Genomic DNA, 20,848 nt, shown 5'->3' on the forward strand with positions numbered 1-20,848 from the left:
AACAATGAACAAATGGCAACCTTGGTTGGTATATACATTTACCTACTTCCTACATTCTTAATCTTAAAAAAAATATGTTATTTATAAAAATTTAATAATTATTCTAAATTGATTACCAACTGGCTTCCATTGTTAGAAAGGCAAACCTTTCAGCCAACTACATAACTTTCAGAGTCAATTAAATTTACAGAAAGAATATATATATATATATATATATATAAGCTAATTCTCTTAAATTTCTGTCAGAAATTTTACATAAATGAATTGATGTTATGGAAACTCTCTTGTATACATTGGACTATAGAAAGAATTATACTTATACTATAAATGATAAAATTAAGACATATGAATTAGCTTCCCACAGTAGTAGATTACTAGAAGTGAGGAATTCATGACTACAATTCCTAATTTTACTCCTCAATCCAACCATTCTTTCAACGATTGAATACTAAAAATTTCTGAAGAAAGTAAATACTTAGTAAGTCCTTAATTTATCCTGTGCATTCCCATGATATTTAATTTTATTATCCTTTTTAGATAGGTATTATTATCTCCATTTCAGCACGTGAATAAACAAAAGCTGAGAATTTGAATAGACTTGTTTGGATCAAATGAAAAACCAAAATTTGAATCTTATACTTTCCAAATTTAAAGCCCATGCTGGACACTGGAGATCATAGTAGTGTCTTCTTCATAGTATTTTTTTTTGAGGATTAAACAAGATAAGTTGTGCAGGGGACTTAGCTGACACAGAAGCATTGTTCAATATGTGTTTTTATTATGCTTACTTTATGAAAACAGTAGAAGGAGGGTAGGCTTTAAAGCTAGTGTTGGAGGGAGTCATTCTATTTAAATGTCGGCTTTTTTTAATTGTTTAAATGAAATTAGCATAAGAAATTTTATTTTGAGCAGCTTTTACATTGTGCATTTTAATCAGAATACAGTCCCCATTCTTATAAATATACCTATTTCAAAGAGCAAATAAAATTGCCGCACTTATTAGAATTAAAAAATCAAGATCTGGCAGCCATGCTTTTATCTAGAAATGACAAGATCTGAATTTTTGTTTCATATGGGTGCAAAGTTAATTGAATAAGACAATATAAAACTTGGCCAGATGAAACTATTGCAAATTGCATTTGCCCAGTCTTTGTTAACTTTTACAATACAGTTCTTTTATTTTTTATTTTTAATCTTTTTCTATTTTTAGCAGCTTTATTGAGATACAATTTACCAACCATAAAGTTCAGCTATTTAAGTATACAATTCAGTGATTTTTAGTATATTTTCAGAGTTGTAATAACCATAATTGCTATCCCAATGCAGTTATTTTAAATTATTAAAAATATAATTGAATTAATATTAAGCATTTCTATGTCTTTTATAATATATTGGCGGCTATTTCTAGTGTTTATCTGATGAAATAATCACATTACTAAATGTGGGGAATTTTAAAAACTAGCATTGCTGAAACACAATTTTCATGAATTTCGAAGGTAAATATATACATGTACATGTTTATGTGTCCAGGTGTCCCACTTACAACAAAGAACACTCTTAATTGGCTCATTTAAAATTTGAACTCCTACTTTTCATATCTCTAGTATGCTATCCTTTACAAATATATGTCCAGTAAGACATGAGCCTTGTTATCGCCATCATTACCATAACCATCTCTTACATTAACATAGAATTTGGCATTTTATAAAGCACTTTCATATTCATTTGTCAGTTTGATTTAAACAGAAACTCTTAAAGGGTAGTTAGGCAATTTATCCTTTAGGTGGGTCTGAACTCAGAGAGATAAATAGTGACCAACACTTAGATGTCACCTACTGTGTGTCTGGCACTGTTTCAAGTACTTAACATACATTAGTTCCTTTAATCCCACAACAGCTTTATGAGGTAGATACAATAAGTGTCCCCCATAGAGATAGGAAAAGATAGGTACAGAGAGGTTAAGTTACTTAAAATCACACAGCTAATATGTGGCAGAGTCAGAATTGGACCCGAAGCAATTCGGCTGCAGGATCCATGCTCTTAACCAGAGTTCTGTACTATCACTCCTGTAAACTGACAAGTGACATGTCACTTAGAATATGTGATGATGACATCTACATTTAAAACATGCTCTATTATACCATGTTGATGTATGATAATGGCAGAACTTTCTGGTTTTCCCAAGCTTAGTGTTTACACAAAGTGAAACAAAGTAAATGGGAGCGCTCTGATAATGTTCGGATAACCCTATATGAGGAAAGAAACTCTTACTCTTGTTTACAATTCTGAGAATAATTTTATCACACCATAACTTCTCTTTCTCCTAATATTCTCATATCTAAATGGCATATTCTTCCTTCGAATTAGCAAGATCAATGAACTTTCTCAAGTTCTACTCCCTGATTCTTTCTGTATCCTAAGGAACACTATAGCTGTAGATATCATTATCTTCTCTACACTTCCTCAAAGGGAATAAACTAGTCCTGTCTTGTTTACCATTATATCTATCTCTGTGTGTTTTATACTGTATGCAATACAGTTGCTATTATGAATATTTATTAAATAAATGCATGAATATCTGCTTTTGGATTTTAAGTGACTTTGCCAAATTAAAGCATAAGTCATTGCTTTGAAAACAGGGCAAGAGTGGATTTCTGGGGATGAGTCAAGCCTGGGGAAGGTTAAAGCTTCCCAGGGAGAGAGACACCATTTGTAGTAATGTAGCTGGCAAATCAATAGGACAACCTGCTACTTTTGTGGTTCAAACCACTTGCTTGAAAACAAAAATAGAGAAGAATCATATCACTTCAATCTGACTGACACGTAGGGCATGAAGCTCATAGAAAATTCACAGAGAGAAAATTGGACCAAGATTATGATTCCACTCCATCAAGAGCCAAAAATTAATCATATAATTAATTCTAAAATATTTCAAGAAAAGCTCATTTGACATTAAAAACTATTTTTAATGTGATGCAAAACATATCTGATAATCCACACTATGTTAGAAGTTCTTCTGTGAACAAAGGACATTCTATAGAACTCCCATGTGGCAATCATCATGGCAGCATGGGTACAGATAAATAAATGTAAAGGGTATCTGCTCTAAGTGAGCTCCAAATGTAATGAATTGATGATTAGTAAATCTCTCAGTAAAAATGTATTTTGAAGGTAGTGTCCATACTAGTTCTAGGCAGTTTTATATCAACTGGACTATAATATTTAAAAGTCAGTAACACTCTATATGGGACAAATTCTGGATTAATTGCACATTGAAGACTTTTTTTTTTAAATTGAAGAAGATGAATCTAAAATATTTCTACAGTATTTAGATAAGGCATGTTGTTTTTATTTGATACTGTTATATTGTTGTTGTCCTCCAGAAGCCCAGAGACTTTTATAGCTGGTATGTCAGTAAAGCAACACACCAATACTCCAATAAAATAAATTGATAGCAGATGCTTTCCTTCTCATTTTTAGAGTCTGAATATATAGCCATATTGGCCCTCGGTAAAAACAGAATTGTTAAAATATCTGAAATTTAATCCAATGCTCACATTTAATCACTGTTGGTGCTGTCCTGTTAATTTCTCTGAGGTAATGGTAGCTATGACAACAAGGGGTAAAAAATCTAACATATGCAGCTTTCAACTTATCTCTCCTTTTACATTACATTATTTATAGTGTCGTACTTTAAAGTATATGGAATTTTCACAAGGTTCATTTTCCAACAGGGGGTGACTATCCTGAGGTTTTCTAGGCAGTTTCATATGATTATCTTTCAAAATAATTTGGAGTACTAGAGTGTACATCTTGCAGGTCAAAGGCACAAATATTTTAAATGGAAATTTTGAAATAAAACAGTTGCTCTCTACTGATGAATTTTTATTATAGAATTCCTTACATTTTGTTGCTGTTCTGCTTTATAACAGGTGAATTTGGAGAGGTGTGCAGTGGTCGCTTAAAACTTCCTTCAAAAAAAGAGATTTCAGTGGCCATTAAGACCCTGAAAGTTGGCTACACAGAAAAGCAGAGGAGAGACTTCCTGGGAGAAGCAAGCATTATGGGACAGTTTGACCACCCCAATATCATTCGACTGGAAGGAGTTGTTACCAAAAGTAAGTAAAGTAGTCATAAGACCTGTGTTTCCGTATGTTGAGCAAAGGTTGTTTAAACCCAACCCCAACCATTTAAGAATTTTGGCTTTTTTTCATAAGTATCTCAGTTTTACCAAAAAGAAAAGTTTAGGAATAGCATGCCTTTCTTTGACAGTAGAGCAGACCTTTAAATAATATTCTATTGACAGTACTGTTTTAGACCTCAAAAAATTTTAAAAAAATACTAGAAGCCACATATTAGACCATTTAAAGGTACGCTGATTAGCAGACAGTTAAGAGAAGAATTGTGGGGAATTCTCGGCTATGTAAGTAGCAAAGAAAAACAATGACTCAAGCTTGACAGGAACTCCCAGCTAGCTGCCTTTTCTTTTATTGTTCATCAGTTTTATTTAAAAGTTACAAATCTTTAACCTCCTCCCACCCCCTGCATCCCTGCCTTTAGGAAAATTTTGGGAGTCTAGGAAATGCTTCTGAGCTGTACAGATTGGAATCACAATAGACCCAAGGCCGTTTCTTGGTTCTCTGTGGATTTTAAATAGTTCTGATCTAGAAACCCAGGTGGATTCTTACTGCTCTGTGGAAGCTCTGGCTCACAGCCCATGATAGAGATGTGAACTTATTTCCATGATGGTTTCTCCAGCAGGTCTCAAAAGGGATCCTGTGAGGCGGATCTGTGATTTTTGGCTCCAATCCCTATATAAGTCTCTTGAGAATACTCTGGGACATTTTTCCTCAAGATTTTGGAGCTCAGGATGAAGAATAAGTGAAATTGGCAGCAAACTTTTTAGAGTGAAAGACAACATATGGCAGGGAATTTGGCATCCTTTAGGGGATAATTCATTGGCACCACATTTACATACTCTATCGTTACCAACAGACATATTTTTCATAATTATATTTCTCTTTACCATTTTATAGAGCATTTTCCAAATGGCACTAATACTTATTCTCACTTTAGCATGACTAAAAAGGCATTTCCTTCCTCATGAGAGCATGGTTTAATTGAAATAGACTTTGATTTCCTTTTGAGTTTTCATATATAAAAAGTGGAATTAAGAATTTAACAATGTGGAATAGTTCAACATACATTGTAAGTCCATATTAATTCTTATAAGGCTTTTTATTTGTTTGCCTATGTACTCTACAAAACCAGGCCTTATTAATAGAAATATTTTCTGATAAAAAACATTTTTAAATTTTAAGTTAATAATTAATAAAAATGGGCATAATTAGTAAGGATTGGGAAAGTGTATGAATCCTTTGTTCTTTCTGAGCAAGGCTATACTGTTTTATGTCTGTACAGTTACAGTATCATGTCTCATTGGGATTTTAGTGTCATTTAGCCATTTAATGTTCTCCATTACATCTGCATCAAGTGGTGGTTGCCTTTTAGCTCTTGAGCCTCCTGGGAAGAGAAAACTCCCTTGTACTTATGAAGCCATTCTTCTAACTCTCAATTTTTACAAGTTTTTCATTATGAAGTATCTGTTATGTGCCCACATTATACTATGACATTATTTCATTCTTACCACTACCCTGTGAATTAGACATGATAATTTCTCTCTTACATTTGAACAAACAATAACTGTAAAGGGTAATTAGCTTGTATAACTAGAAAATGCTAGAGGTAGCACTGGGAACTTGTTCTGTTCATTTCACCCCATCCCCAACTCTGAACCCAAACAGGTTTCTACTTGTCTTTTCCTGTATTCTACTTATTCTTTTATATCGTTACTTTAAAAATCTTCTCTAACATAGTGAGACATTCCTCAATCTTCAAAAATTTCTGGAACTATTAATAATCCTTAATATCTAAAACAAAATATAAACTCTCAAAGAGGGCAAAAACCCATGTTATTTGATGACAAGTGACTAAAATAAATCCTGGATCATAATAGATACTTAATTTACCAATGTTGAAAAATTAAAAAAAATATTGATGAAGGAAGGAAGGAAGAAAGAAAAGAAGGAAGGAAGGGAGGACACAACAATATCTTTTAACAATAGGTCTTTCTTTAGTATTTGATTCATTAAATTGAATACACTTTTCAAAGGAGTGCATTTAAATAACTACTTCTATCACCCAGAGAGTGATGAAAAAAAATGATTACTTTTTAGCTTGAATAGAATCATAATCTAACTTCTTCAACATGTGTAATTAAGAAAAAAATGAGCTAAGAGTCACTATCACACAAATATTAGGTTCTAATTTAAGCTTACTAATAAACTCACTCTATTATTTTGTCAGTCATGAGTTGATTTTTTTGTTTCAGTGTTATGAATTATGAAAGCTACTCCTTATATTTTCCTGTTTCCTATAAATGCATTTACTGGATGATAAGCAACATTAAACTATAAATGTTGTGGCAAATTTCCTTTAGATATAAAACTGAAACAATTAAATATAGATTATGGTAGACTGACAAATCTATGAAACAATCTCTAAGACAAAAAATGTAGAAAAATGCACTAAAATGACTTTTAAAAATTGCAGGTATTATATATTAAACATCTTACTCAAACCGACTCTGTAACATTCTAATATGGATTACAACTGCCTTATTCTTAGGGTGAGAGTTCTAAATTTGATATATCTCCCTGGTCAAATAAGCATGTAAGAAGCTGCCAAATCTGACTATATAAATCCCAGTCATCTCATATATTGTAAATATAATAGAGTAGTAGCCCTAGAATTAGATTTTGAACTCCTTGGTGGCATATTTATAAGCTCTTAGTCTGGCACCCGGTAACATCTGAGAGGAAATAGAAACTCCTTACAATAAAGTTGATATGTTGTATTTAACACACACACACACACACACACACACACACACACACACACAGAGCGATTGTGTTTCCAAAAGAAGCTATTTATTCTACTGCTATTATTGTCTTTGTTTCCTGAGATTTCTAAAACAATCCACCTGCAGAGATCAGAAAGCACATCTATACATGCACACATGCACACACACACACACAACTAGAGTGATGCAGAGCTTATAATTTAATGAACAAAATAATATTTTCAAAAGCAGGCATATCAGTATCTAGATTAATAATCAATGATCTGAGTTCAAGTTCTGAAACAACCTTACTCCTCTGAGAACTCCTACAAATCAGACAATTCACACATAATTCATTTCTTCGCTTGTAACAAAATTAAACAGTACTACTTTACTATTTTTAGATACTAAAGATCAAATGAGATTACATAAGAATATATTAAGTGGCAAAGAACTGTGCAAATCTAAATTACTCCTCTGGTTGTTTGAGATTTTACCAATCAATTTGGGTGTATAGAAAAAAATTCTTGAAAATAATTCTTTTTTTGCTCAAAGATAAATCTGTTTATTATTGTTATTCGATTGTGTGCTTTGAAACACTAGGTCAAATACAATGTATCATTTTCAAATCATTTGAAGAAAACTTTTCTTAAAGCTTTTTATTCAGTCATTGTATTTTCATTTAGCCACAAACAATTTTAATGTTTTTGAGCCTGATGGTCTTAAACAGGAGAAGGTGAGAGAGTCTCTGATCTTCAAAGTAGCAGAAAGCGGGGGGCACAGGCTCTGCTCACAACAAGGTACTAACATGTGTTATCAATTTTAGCTGAAGTTCAAAAGGATAGAACTTGTTCTTAGCAAATGTTTGATATTTCTGCCATCACACCATTAGTCAAATAATGTTCAGACTCCAAGAACACCTTCCATTGGCCACTTTTCACCTAGCGAAATAGAAGGAATTATATTGGATGAGATTAATGTATTTTGTCTTGCATTATTTTCAGGAAATTTTAAAAAATTACCATGTAACTTAAGTGTAACTTTGCATTATTGAGGAATGTCATGGGCAGAACGTTAAGATGATTTTCATAATTAAAACTTATCTGTAGTGGCATGAGTATCCACTTTCACTAAAAGCTTAGCCATTGGCTTCCAGTTGCCTGTTTCCCTGCATGTACGGTAAGGACACATTTCTGGAATAAGAGGTCATCATTTAGTAACAATGCCAAATTCTAGTTATTTTCTGTTTGTTTCTCTCTAAAAATATTCTAAATTTGTCTTAAGTGTACTACACTTCATGTCATCTTAAAAGACAATACATACGTTGTACTTACTATACTAGTAATTTACAGAGATAGTTTGTTAGGATAACAAATTTTGGAAACTCTAATGACCCAAGTTTTATCATGGATTCATGGCTGCAAATTGTTAAAATGAGTTCAGAACATGTCTGTCTAAGTAACCACATCAACAAAATTAAAAAATCACTGCTCGATATATTAGAAAAATATAAGACAGGGAATGTTATTTTTACATATTTAAACAGCTTTTGTTACTTCTTCATCACTGTCCACTTATGTCCCTTGGATGAATAGGCCATTTTGACTTATAGAAAAGTGTGGTATTGTGTATTTTTCTCATTTATATGTATAGGATGGTTTTCTGATATTTTTGAAAAATTAAGATCAACTTACAAAATTTGTTAGAGCACGATTTGTGTGTGCCCAAAGACACCATTTCTAGAGCACTGGTTTACATATACAGTAAATCTCCTAGAGAAAGAAGAAATATGATGAAGCACTAGTTTAGTAGCTGTCTGAATAACTGTGGTCTTACACAACCTTTGCAGAAAGGGAAAAAAAGTATCACCTCTAAATGCCGAGGCTAGTAATATCTTGATACCAAACTATACAGCTATTATCAGAAAGTATAATAACATTATTGTAATGCATAAACAAAAATTTAATAACACTAGAATAATTGTGAAGCCATATCTGAAAGTGTATCAAAAAAGATACTACACCATTTCCCAAGTGTAGTTTATTCCAAGTATGAAAAGTTGGTTTTGTATTTAACAATTCTAAAAACTCATAACATTAATAGGTAATAAGAAAGTTCTATCTTAATAAATGCAAAAAATAAACTATTTTAATTTTAATTTTTTATTAGCACATCATACATAGAAAATATGTATTCCTGATAAAGGTATGTAAACAGCCCCCAAACAAACACAAACAAACCCACAAATGTCACATTTAATAGTAAAACTTTAAAAGCATTTCTTTTCGAGAGAAAACAAAAAGCCTGTTGTTATTATTATTTCAATTCAATATTGTACAGGAAATCTTAAACCTTTTTTTTTGACTTTTACAAATAAATCAGCTCCTTTATTTGCATTATTTTGAGCACTCTGATAATGACAGTCTTCACTGATATTTTTGAAATCCTGTTTTTTGTTAAATAAGCTTTTCCAATTAGGCAAGCAAATAAATAAAAGAAAGCTTGGAAAGGAGAAAAAAACAAAACTTTTTATGAAATCAAACAACATATTAAGAGTATTATATACATTCATTCCACTTACTGTATGCCTTACATTATTGTGCTTACTGCATGACTCAGCTCTAACTAGCATAATGGACAGTAAATTAGTTGTTATCTTTGAAGATGTTAAATTTCGTTTCAAGTTAAGCATAAATAAATATAAATATTTTTCAAGCAGCTGAAAGTAAAGCATTCTATGTGTTAGGATTGATAGAGTAGGGTTGGTTAAGGAAGTCTTGGAGAAAGTGTTTCTCATCCTGATTTTGAAGAAAGAAATTATCTCTAGCCAGTCTGAAATTATAGACCTAATTTGATCAATTGTAACTGGCACAGTGGTAGGTGTTGGATTTAGAACTACAGACAAATGGGCTTGGTCTTTGCTCTCATTAACTCATAGACGTAATAGGGGTCATTTCCACACAATAATGTCTTGATTAAAATGGAATTTGGAAGACGTTGCCCTGTAATTTTATAATGATTTAATAAGAAACCCACAAAAAAAAATACCCTAACTCAGCTCAATATTTCATTTCAATATTTCAGTTCAATATTCATTACAATATTTTTATCAGTTAGGTATGATATGTGAAAATCTATGATACATTTTTTATTCTCATCAAAGATGATTCAAATCTTCTTTCCTGGAAATAGGCAAATTTTGTCAATTTTTTTCAACTTTCCATCTCCCGTTTTTTTTTTTTTTCCTTCCATCCTGACACTGATTATATAGATTGCTAGCGGCTAAGGTCAAAGGTTTTGATTTTATAATATACCCTCATTAGAGTGTGTTTAATCCTTTTGAAAATAAGACATAGAGTGTTAGACCCAATGACTGTTGTTAATAGGGAGTTAATAGCATTTCCATTTGAAATTATTAAATGTAAATATTTAATAATGTTTCAATATCTGATAAACAGTTTGTTTGAATGAAAATATTTTAATCTGAAAAACAAAGTTTGTTAGAAAATTTCAAAGAAAATATCTTTATGACTGACTATATATGTATATATATATGCGTATGTATGTGTATATATTTCACATTATTCTACTCTATAAGAAATGTGATTGAGAAGGTTGTGTTAAAATAGCTGGTGCTGAATCTGGAATTCTTAGACATTTTGAATCATATTTCTTCTGTCATCAAGCGGCGATTCAATGACTAGTAATAGCTCCGAGCCACTGGGGATAGTTGGGAAAAGGAACTGATTATAACAGACTGATTTGCTTCCCTTTACTTTACAATTGTGAAAGATCATCATTTTATCTAAACTCATAAATCAACTTGAGAACAAAAGCAAAACTCCACTGCAAATTTTGTTTTGCTCATTTTTGATGGTTTCATTTCAGCAAGTCATAGAACAGTACTTTCATTGAGTTTAGTATGTATACCCAGATGTGTTTTGGGGTTTCTGAGAGCCGCAAATGATACAAGCTTTGTCTGGAGGAAGACGATCATGTCATTTGTAAATCAAAATACACCTGGAAGAGCATGCAAACTTGAGTACAAATACATGGCATAATGCGCAGATGAGCTGGCATTTTATAAATAATTTCCCACCACATTTAATGCATGTTGGAACTAGTTCTCGCCACTACAGAAGTCTCTTTTTCTTTAACCCTATTTACCATAATCAAAATCACAAGGGAAACCCTAAGTCAAGATACTGTTTCCCAAGGTAGAATATTTGTAATTCTGTTTACTCTTTGTATATTTGATTTGCAGAATCTTTGAACGTAATGCAAAGCACATTTTCAGACTTGCCCATCTTAACTGATGTGTTTACAAATACCTGAATTCTAGAGTTAAATGCACGCTGATGTGATTTCTGAATGGTCATGGGGCTTTGACTTAATTGACTGGTTTGATTTTTCAGCTACTTTTATTTCCCTTCCCAAACATCCCACTAGACATGCTAATGAGAAATGGTCATAAGGCTGGGAGCCAGAAGGAAAGGAGTGATAAGTAAAGGTCTGAGTAGTATAAAAATGCAGTAACTGGCCAATGATATTGAGAGTTGGTGGTGTGAGGCAAAATATCTGTGACTGCATTTGAAGTGTGCATTGAATTTTGGTAACATATCATTCCTCCCAGCACTGTATGAAGGAGGAAAGACAGAAACTGATGGTGATTTATAGAAAGTACACATATGCAGGATTTTATTCATTCATTCATTTATTCATTCATTTCATTTCAGGCCAGGCATCTAGAATCAAACAGTCTCTAGGGAACTGATACTAATTCAGGAGAGATCTAAGTTTCCAAGGAAATGGTGAATCTTCCCTTTCTTTTTGAATATTGTTTAATCAAAGTTTAGTTGGAATTTTGATAAAGCAAATTCTGGGGGCTCAAGGTTTTGACTGAAGCAATTTTTCAGATATTACTACATTAACTAGATAGATGTTACATGGTGCCTTAAAGACATAAATCAGTGTCTTAACGGAAAATAGATCAATGTATCAAGTGGTTGTAACATGTATAAAAGTTATCTCAAAAACTATAGAATTTAAATAGATTTTTCCTTAATAAATAAGACATAATTCCTGGAATATATTCAAATTACTGAATGTAAAAGTATAACCTTCATGATGCTAACTCATAATTTACATTTTGTACAAATCAAAGAGTTTTTTACACATGAAAGGAAAAAATCAAGAAAAGGAAGTTATTTTCTAGCATCAGAATGGCAAACTAACCTCATGATAAATAAGACACATAGGAGGAAAAGTTGTGTTATACAGTTATGTGTACATTAATGTTTGTTTAACATCTGTTATTTGCTTATGAGTTTTCAGCAGTACTCGGTTAATACTCAACTCACGTCTTCTGGACTTGGAAAAGGAGTGATTTTCCTTCCTGTAAAATGCTGGACTTATAACTAAAATAGTATAAGAATAATAAAGTAAGGGAATTACAGTGTGGTAATATGTATAGGTTTTGAAATTAGAGACAGTCGTGTTTAAAATTTTCTTGACTGCTATCTAATTGTATTACCTCAACAAGTTGCTTAAACCCACAATGTTTTCTGGGTAGGAATCAGTAAAATGGGAATAATGCATATTGCTAAAGCATAAGTAAGCTGTGAGGATTAAGTGATATAACAAATGTCAAGTACCTAATGCAATGTTACATAATTCTAATCATGAAAAAAAAATTACCAGTATTTCTTTTATATCAAAGCATCCTTTTTTTGGTATTTTTCTTTTTAAAATGTTAGTTTTACATAATCTTCTTAATTGTTACCATAATGTATATAGAATTATATTTTCAGCTTTGTATAATATTACGCTGTAACAATTGTCTAAAGTGCTTAAGTCTTAAGGTCATCATTTTAATTTAAAATCATCCATAGCTTTAACATGCAATAACTGACTAAATCATTATCTGTAGTGGAACATTTGTTATATTCATAGCTCTGTGTATCCACTATACTTAGCACCTTTGTGTCTGATGCTTTTTCATATGTTACATTTTTCCCTCATTATCAGTTTCCGAAAGTGACAGCATAGTGTGTACAGGTTGCAACTTTTAGCTTTATAACTTGTTAGATGTATGATGACCAGCAAGTTAATTAGCCTCTGTGTCTCAGTTTTCTCATGTGTAAAATGGAAATAATAATACTTAATATGTTAATATATAAATTAATTACACCAGCATCATGCTCACAATAAGTACTATTTAAATACATTAAAATGCTGGGTTAAAGGTTTCATGGTATTTTAGGCTACATATTTGCAAACTGGTTATTACAAGTTACTGCCAATAGCAATTTTAATTTCAGTTTTATTTTCCATTTAAACATAGCATTCATTTCATAATTTTTAAGTGTTAAACAAATTTTGTAAATAATTATAACTATTATTCTGAATTGTTTTGTAGAACTCGTGTAGAATCCATAAAGGCAGAAATTTTGATCTACTTGCTCCCCACTAAGCGGCACAAAAGAGAACACCTAGCACAGTGCCCTACACGTATATATGTGTGTGTGCACATATAGCACATATAAATACCCATAGAAAGAATAAATAAATGTTAAATTCCTAACATTATCTTGGGCTTGGAGGCAGAAATATTTGGTGTTGAAGATAAGTGAGAATTTAATTAAAGAGAGGAAAGGGGCATATTTTTTGTTTACTTGAAAGGCCTGTCAAACCAATTTAGATGCTATTGGTCATGGGCCTTTGTTCTGGAAACCAATCTTCTCCAATTTTTGTGGTTTTTAAAGTTTTATTTTCTAATGAAACCTAGGGCTTTTTAAAATTTTTAAAAATTAGAAGACAGGCAAAGTTCTTACATCTCTATAATCCTCAGGTAAATCCAACTATATTATATATGTTCATTGTATAATACTTGAACTGTACTGATTATTATTTATTATTTACTGTATATCTAGGTAAGCCAGTTATGATTGTCACAGAATACATGGAGAATGGTTCCTTGGATAGTTTCCTACGTGTAAGTAAGATGCACACACATACATATATATGAATAAATTGCTGAAAACATTAGAGACACCCTCCAATATTGTGCCAAGCAATTCAGTAATCTAAGTTTAAAGTAAAACTGAAATCTTCTGAGGCTAAATAGACAGAGAAGGGCTGTAAAATTGCATCTTTTTTTGCAGCATTCAAATGTTAATGGTTTATATTTTTAAAACAAATTTGTGAGTTCTTCTTCAAAAGACTCTTTTTATACTGCCAAGATTCACACTCGTTAAATAAAAATAAAAAAGAATCCTAAAGCAAGTAATAAAACCCACTGATGTAAGACAGAAAGTCTCTTTTTTAAGTAATCTCAGTCTGATATAATTATTTAATCACAGTCTGATATAAGACAGCCCATCTACTTTCCAAACAGTGCTGTCAGAAAATAAGCATGTGCTATAATGCTAAAGTATATATAGTTTTAATTTAGATATATCATTTTGCTGTTAGATATGTACATTAATTTTTTAGATTGAGAAGCTTTATACGTTTATCTATCATCTATCTATCTATCTATCTATCTATCTATCTATCTATCTATCTATATTTTTTGAGATGGAGTTTTACTCTTGTTGCCCAGGCAATGGTGCAATGGTGCAATGGTGCAATGGTGCAATGGTGCAATGGTGCAATCTTGGCTCACTGCAATCCCCGCCTGCTGGGTTCAAGTGATTTTCCTGCCTCAGCCTTCCAAATAGCAGGGATTACAGGCGCCCACCATCATGCCTGGCTAGTTTTTGTATTTTTAGTAGAGGTGGTGTTTCACCATGTTGGCCAGGCTGGTTTAGAACCCCTGACCTCAGATGATCCGCCCTCCTCAGCCTCCCAAATTGCTAGGATTACAGGCATGAGCCACCGCACCTGGCCATATTTTGACATACTATATTTCACCATAAGAAAGTGAATATATTAAATTTACATCTATTTCAACAAATGTTATGTTCAACAATTTCATGAAGTTCAAGACAATACCAATTACCAGTCATTGCAGGCGATAAGAAAAGACATAGGCCCTGTCCTCAAGGTGCTTTTGTTGCTATATAAATTGAGATGGGCAGATGACAGAAAGATAGATAGATAAATAGATAAAGAAAATATGTAGTATCATTCATAATCATGGAGGAAAATTTTAAATTTTCTAAGACTGAGAAAGGATATGCTTTATATTAAAATCCATTAGCCAAATAAAAATTTTAATAGCAATTATTTTCATAATCGTTATTTCAAAAATAAACATTTCCAAAATCAGGTGAGTTAAAATATTATGATAAATATTCTTTCAAAATTATCGTTTGTAATTAAACATGGAATTTTATATAAATACATTATCTATACATTTTAAACCTTATGTTTCTATTTTAATCCAAGATTAAATTAGATTGGAAGCTGGATTATGTGATTTAGTTTCTTATTGCTTTCTATTTTGTGACTACAATTCAGAAGTGGGTAGAAAAACAAATATCCAATAAATATTTTTGACTAATTATGAACTAATTATTTATGATAATGTTTAAAAATGTAGCATCCACCTTATTTGAAACAATTCATAAAATATCAGGAAACAAAGAAGGGGAAATGAAAATTCAATCAAACAAATAAATATCAACCTAAACTAGCCACAAGATTCATTTCACTTTTTTGTTCTTAACCTTAATGAGTCTGAGCAGGAGTTAGTTTTTTTGTCACATAAGGACCAGGAAAGTCCTTGCTTTTAAACTGAAGTCAAAGAACGTTAAGATACTTCCTGTTACAAAGTATTTGATAACATAGCCAGTGTGTTATTTTGTTTCAGCCTTGTATCCATTTGCCACATATCTTTGTCTTGAGTGCTTAGGACTAAAGTGTGTATAGTCAGTCTTGTTACAAAATTCAATATGTGAGATTTTAACCAATAAAGATATATCTTTAAGAAATAGGAACGTATCTTAATTGTACATTTGAAATGCTTCCCAGAAACACGATGCCCAGTTTACTGTCATTCAGCTAGTGGGGATGCTTCGAGGGATAGCATCTGGCATGAAGTACCTGTCAGACATGGGCTATGTTCACCGAGACCTCGCTGCTCGGAACATCTTGATCAACAGTAACTTGGTGTGTAAGGTTTCTGATTTCGGACTTTCGCGTGTCCTGGAGGATGACCCAGAAGCTGCTTATACAACAAGAGTGAGTAACTTAGATTTTCTCCTTTTTTATCATTGTTTTCCATCTTGTATCATGTTGATTTGTAAATAAGTAGAAATCATGACCCAAAACGTGTTGTCAATTATGCTTTCCACAATAGAAAACATATCTTAAAATTAAAATATTATTATTTATTCTGGGTAAATAGATGGTCACTGTTTAACATTTAATGATTTTAACTCTGAAATTCTATACCTCAGTTTAATGTTCCCCACCAAAAGCAGCAAGATTCTCACATTCCTCAAATCTTGATATTTTTAAATGTACCCATCTTTTCACCATGGTTGAGTCACCCTGAGCTAGCAGATTGGATAAATTCTAAGGACCTTATCCCAGTACATATCATTTTAAAGCACTTTCAAATCAATTTTTTAATAAGTAATACCTATTTATACTGTAAAAATGTCAAAACAGACCTATAAAGAAAAGTTGTCCATAATTGTGCCATCCACAGACAACATTTATAAGATTGTGAGTCAATTCTTACAAATTTTTCTTCATACTCATATGTACAAACTTGTTCATGAATATATTATTTAAATACAATTATTCATAATACAATTGTATGCCATTTCTCTCCTTACCAATACACTTCTTGAATATATTTCATTGTCAATAAATAATCTTTAAATTTTTACATGTAGTAGGTTGCTGTATTCTATATTGTTGTATCTTTTTTAAAGCAAACCCTAATTAGTGAGCAAATTATTATTATATTTAATTTTTCCATATTTTATACCAATGTATGTGATCTGCCTGCATTCATAATTGTTATGAGCCTCATGATTTTCTAATGATACATTCCTAAAAATGAATGTTTTGTGTCAAAGATTACGTGAATATTTTAAAAGCACACTTTACTACACTCTTGATAAAACTAGGTATTTTCATTAATTTTACTATTATCAGTTAGGATAAATTGAATGTATATGTTTTAATTTGCATCCATTTAATTCAAAATGCATTTGAATTTTTTGTGAGCTTTTCTGTTGTTGTTTTGTTTTGTGTTTGTTTTTTGTTTTTTAGGCAGGGTCTCACTCTGTCACCCAGGCTGGAGTGCAGTGGCACAATTACGACTCATTGTAGCAGCCTCAAACTCCTGGCCTCAAGTGATTCTCCCGGGCTCAAGTGATCCTCCCTCCTCAGCCTGCTGAGTAGCTGGGATTACAGGCATGGACCACCAGCCCCAGCTAATTTTTAAGTTTTTCTTTAAAGAAAATTATTTCCATGGTAGAAATTTAGAAAATATAGATAAAAAACAAGTAAATGTCTAATAATCATTACTATTAATACTACACAAACATAATTATTAGCATTTTAAATTTAGCCTTTCGATTTTTTTAAATAAATTTTCACAAATAAATAACTCCTCTTTTGGCATAAAGTTACAAAAATGGGATTATACTTTATATACTGATATATAAAATGATTTCAACATACCGATAATTTAGGCACTTTACTTATATATAAATCAATGCCATTTTGTTTTCTGCCCTGTTTTAACTTAAAAATATAAAATACATAAGTTTCCAGATGATTAAATATTTTTACAATATTCAATAATGTCTAATACTCTATTCATATACATAATTTAATTAAATAAAGCACTATTAATTGGGCAGAATTACAATATTTTCATATTATGAGTGATACTTTGATGTCATGATATCTATTTTGTGTCTGTCCATGATTACCTCCTTGGGATATTTCTATAGAATTAACATTACAGGATCAAAACGTATACAAGTATGTGAGAATTTTTGGCGTATATATTGCCCAATTGTCTTTGCTGTAGTTTGTTATCAATTTTCTCTCCTAATGGCAGTATCTTTCTCCATATTCTCATCAGCTAAGAGAATAGGTGGTTCCAAAGATGGTAGTCTTCTGCTGTTTCTTATTATCTAATTTTAAAAGTTTATTCCCGATTAAAAAAAAAAGCTCATCCTATTTGCAAATCACTCGAGAACTCCAATAATCAAAATTGTCACATGGCATGCATATCATGCTATAATAAAGAACCTAATATGCCAGATAGCATTTCATCCACAAGTAAAGCCGCAATAATAGAACCACTGAATAATAATGACACAATGCTGTTGGGATATTTCTAGATGCATTGATATAGGAGGTAGGACTCTCCCAATGGCTTTTAATAATAAACCCTTTTGTTTTTCCAATTTTCAAATATACTCTGTAGTGCATTTACTTTGTTCATGAATCTAAATTTTTTTTTAATCTGAGTATTTTTTAAAAAGTCCTTAGACACTTAAAATGTGTCCTACATAAAAATGTTGTTCTTAACAAACACAATTCAAATGGATAAGAGCATGACAAATTAAGACAAATTTCTTATCTTGTAGCTAGTTGAATTAAATTTACAAGTGACTACAATTATATAGCTCTGAACATGATGAAATTGCCAAACATGGGATCAATACCTCAACAGTGCTTTTTAGTTCTCCTTCTCTGATCACCAGAAAAATTAGTCAGCCAATGTATCTGCAACAAAGCATCATTTTAATAACTGAGCTACCAATTCAGTAGACACTATATGCAGCAAGTGATACTTAACAGTCTTAGGGAATGTATTTCATTCTACTCACTTCTACTCTTTTTCTAAGGCTATCCCTCTTAACCTGTCATGACATAAGTACTTCTAAGAGTCCATGAAAAGTATCATGCTTACTTATATTGTCCGTGTTACAACAATCATATTATGCCAGAAAAATACTTTTAGGTTAAATAAAAACTATTTGATAAAAAAATTATTTGAAATGTTAAATTTCTGGTTATTCAGTCAGGTTCTAATTTCTATGCCATATTAAATTATTTATTTATTTATTTATTTATTAATTTTTGAGACAGAGCCTCACGTTGTCTCCCATGCTGGAGTGCAGTGGCGCAGTGTCGGTTCACTGCAACCTCTGCCTCCCAGATTCAAGCAACTCTCATGCCTCAGCCTCACAAGTAGTTTGGATAACAGTGGCTTGCCACCACGCCTGGCTAATTTTTGTATTTTTAGTACAGACGGGGTTACTCCATGTTGGCCAGTCTAGTCTCAAACTGCTGATCTCAGGTGATCCACCTGCCTCAGCCTCTGAAAGTGCTGGGATTACAGGCGTGAGCCACTGTTACCAGCCCCATATTAAATTATTATGTGAGAGCATCTCTGTCCCCATAAGTAGGCTTGATTGCCAGGATACTCAAAAGAATAGTTTCTCTGGCAGGAATTGGAAACATTTGTCCAACTTTAGATGATTCATACTCTGGAGAACACAGGGGGTTAACTCTAAATGTTTCCTTTACACTGATTGTTGTTTTGTCAGGGCCTCTTTAGTGTTAGAAGAAAAGTGTCGTATGGAAATTGCTCTTTAACATTTCTGAAATAAAAGTGAAACAGGCTCTTTGCATTTCTGTTCCAGTCACTGAAGATTCTTAAAAACACACTGAACAAATAGGCTCATTCACCACCAATAAATAGCTGTTTCGAGTTCTTCAGGGTTCATCTTTGTATTTCCTTGGAACTCCCTCAAAATATCCATGGGAGTCCTGGCTTTCTTCCGAGAAGCTGTAATTTGCATGTGCGTTTCTAGAGTAATTTAAACATCATTGATTTAATCTCTCATAATAGGCCTTATTGAGTACAATAAGTTTATAGTTTACTCTAAATATGAGGTATGGTTATGAAGTAATAAGAAGACTTCAATTTTTTAAAAAAACAAATATACCAAACAGCTAAATGAGGCAGCATTCTAAGTTTTCCTTTTGGAAATAAATATATACTTACTCCAGGAATGCTGATATTGCACAAAATGTTTTGGGAATTTCTCTTTTGGAATTATATTTAAAGCTAAATTATAACTGATGCATTAATCAAACATTTTTAAGCAGGTAGTATTTTGGGATATAGGCTTGACTAAGATAAAATCTGGTCTCGATAAGCAGAGTGGGGTGGCTCACGCCTATAATCTTGACACTTCGAGAGGCCAAGGCAGGAGGACCTCTTAAGCTCAGGAGTTTGAGACCAGCCTGGGCAACATAGCAAGACTTCATCTCTGTTAAAAAATATATATATATATAAATATATATTTATATATATAAATAATATATAATATATATACACTTTTATATATAAATGCTATATCTATATAAATACTATATCTATATAAAGTATATATATACTATATAGTATATATAATTTTATATATAAATACATCTATATATATATAAATAAATTATATATGTTATATATAAATACTATATATATGTGTGTATATGTATTAAAATAATATAGGACAGGTGCGGTGGCTCATGCCTGTAATCCCAGCACTTTGAGAGGCTAAAGCAGGCAGATCACCTGAGGTCAGAAGCTCAAGACCAGCCTGGCCAACATGGTGAAACCCCGTGTCTACTAAAAATACAAAAATTAGCTGGGTGTGGTGGTGTGCGCCTGTAATCCCAGCTACTTGGGAGGCTGAGGCATAAGAACTGCTTGAACCTGGGAGGCAGAGGTTGCAGCGAACGGAGATTGTGCCATTGCACTCTAGCCTGGGGGACAGAGTGAGAATCCATCTCAATAATAATAATAATAATTAATTAATAAAAATAAAAACATATATTAGGCATGGAGACGCTCACCTGTGGTCCCAACTACTCAGGAGGCTGAGGTGGAAAGATCACTTGAGTCCAGGAGGTTGAAGCTGCAGTGAGCTAAAGCCTGGGGATGGAGCAGGACCCTTTTTC

At 32.2% G+C, this 20,848-nt stretch overlaps 1 protein-coding gene across 4 annotated transcripts in view; it reads left to right on the top strand.

Annotated features, from left to right (window-relative positions):
• The window catches only part of EPHA3 (EPH receptor A3), a 374,514-nt gene that overhangs the window by 307,652 nt on the left and 46,014 nt on the right, over window positions 1–20,848 (top strand). For all 4 annotated transcript variants that reach the window (NM_005233.6, NM_001410778.1, XM_005264715.4 and 1 more), the window contains exons 11-13: window positions 3,933–4,118; window positions 13,834–13,895; window positions 15,878–16,087. In NM_005233.6, the coding sequence (NP_005224.2) occupies window positions 3,933–4,118; window positions 13,834–13,895; window positions 15,878–16,087 (458 nt within the window). The remainder of the gene's footprint in view (window positions 1–3,932; window positions 4,119–13,833; window positions 13,896–15,877; window positions 16,088–20,848) is intronic.

This window comes from Homo sapiens, chromosome 3, assembly GCF_000001405.40.
Source record: "Homo sapiens chromosome 3, GRCh38.p14 Primary Assembly".
In the NCBI taxonomy this organism is placed as follows: domain Eukaryota; kingdom Metazoa; phylum Chordata; class Mammalia; order Primates; family Hominidae; genus Homo; species Homo sapiens.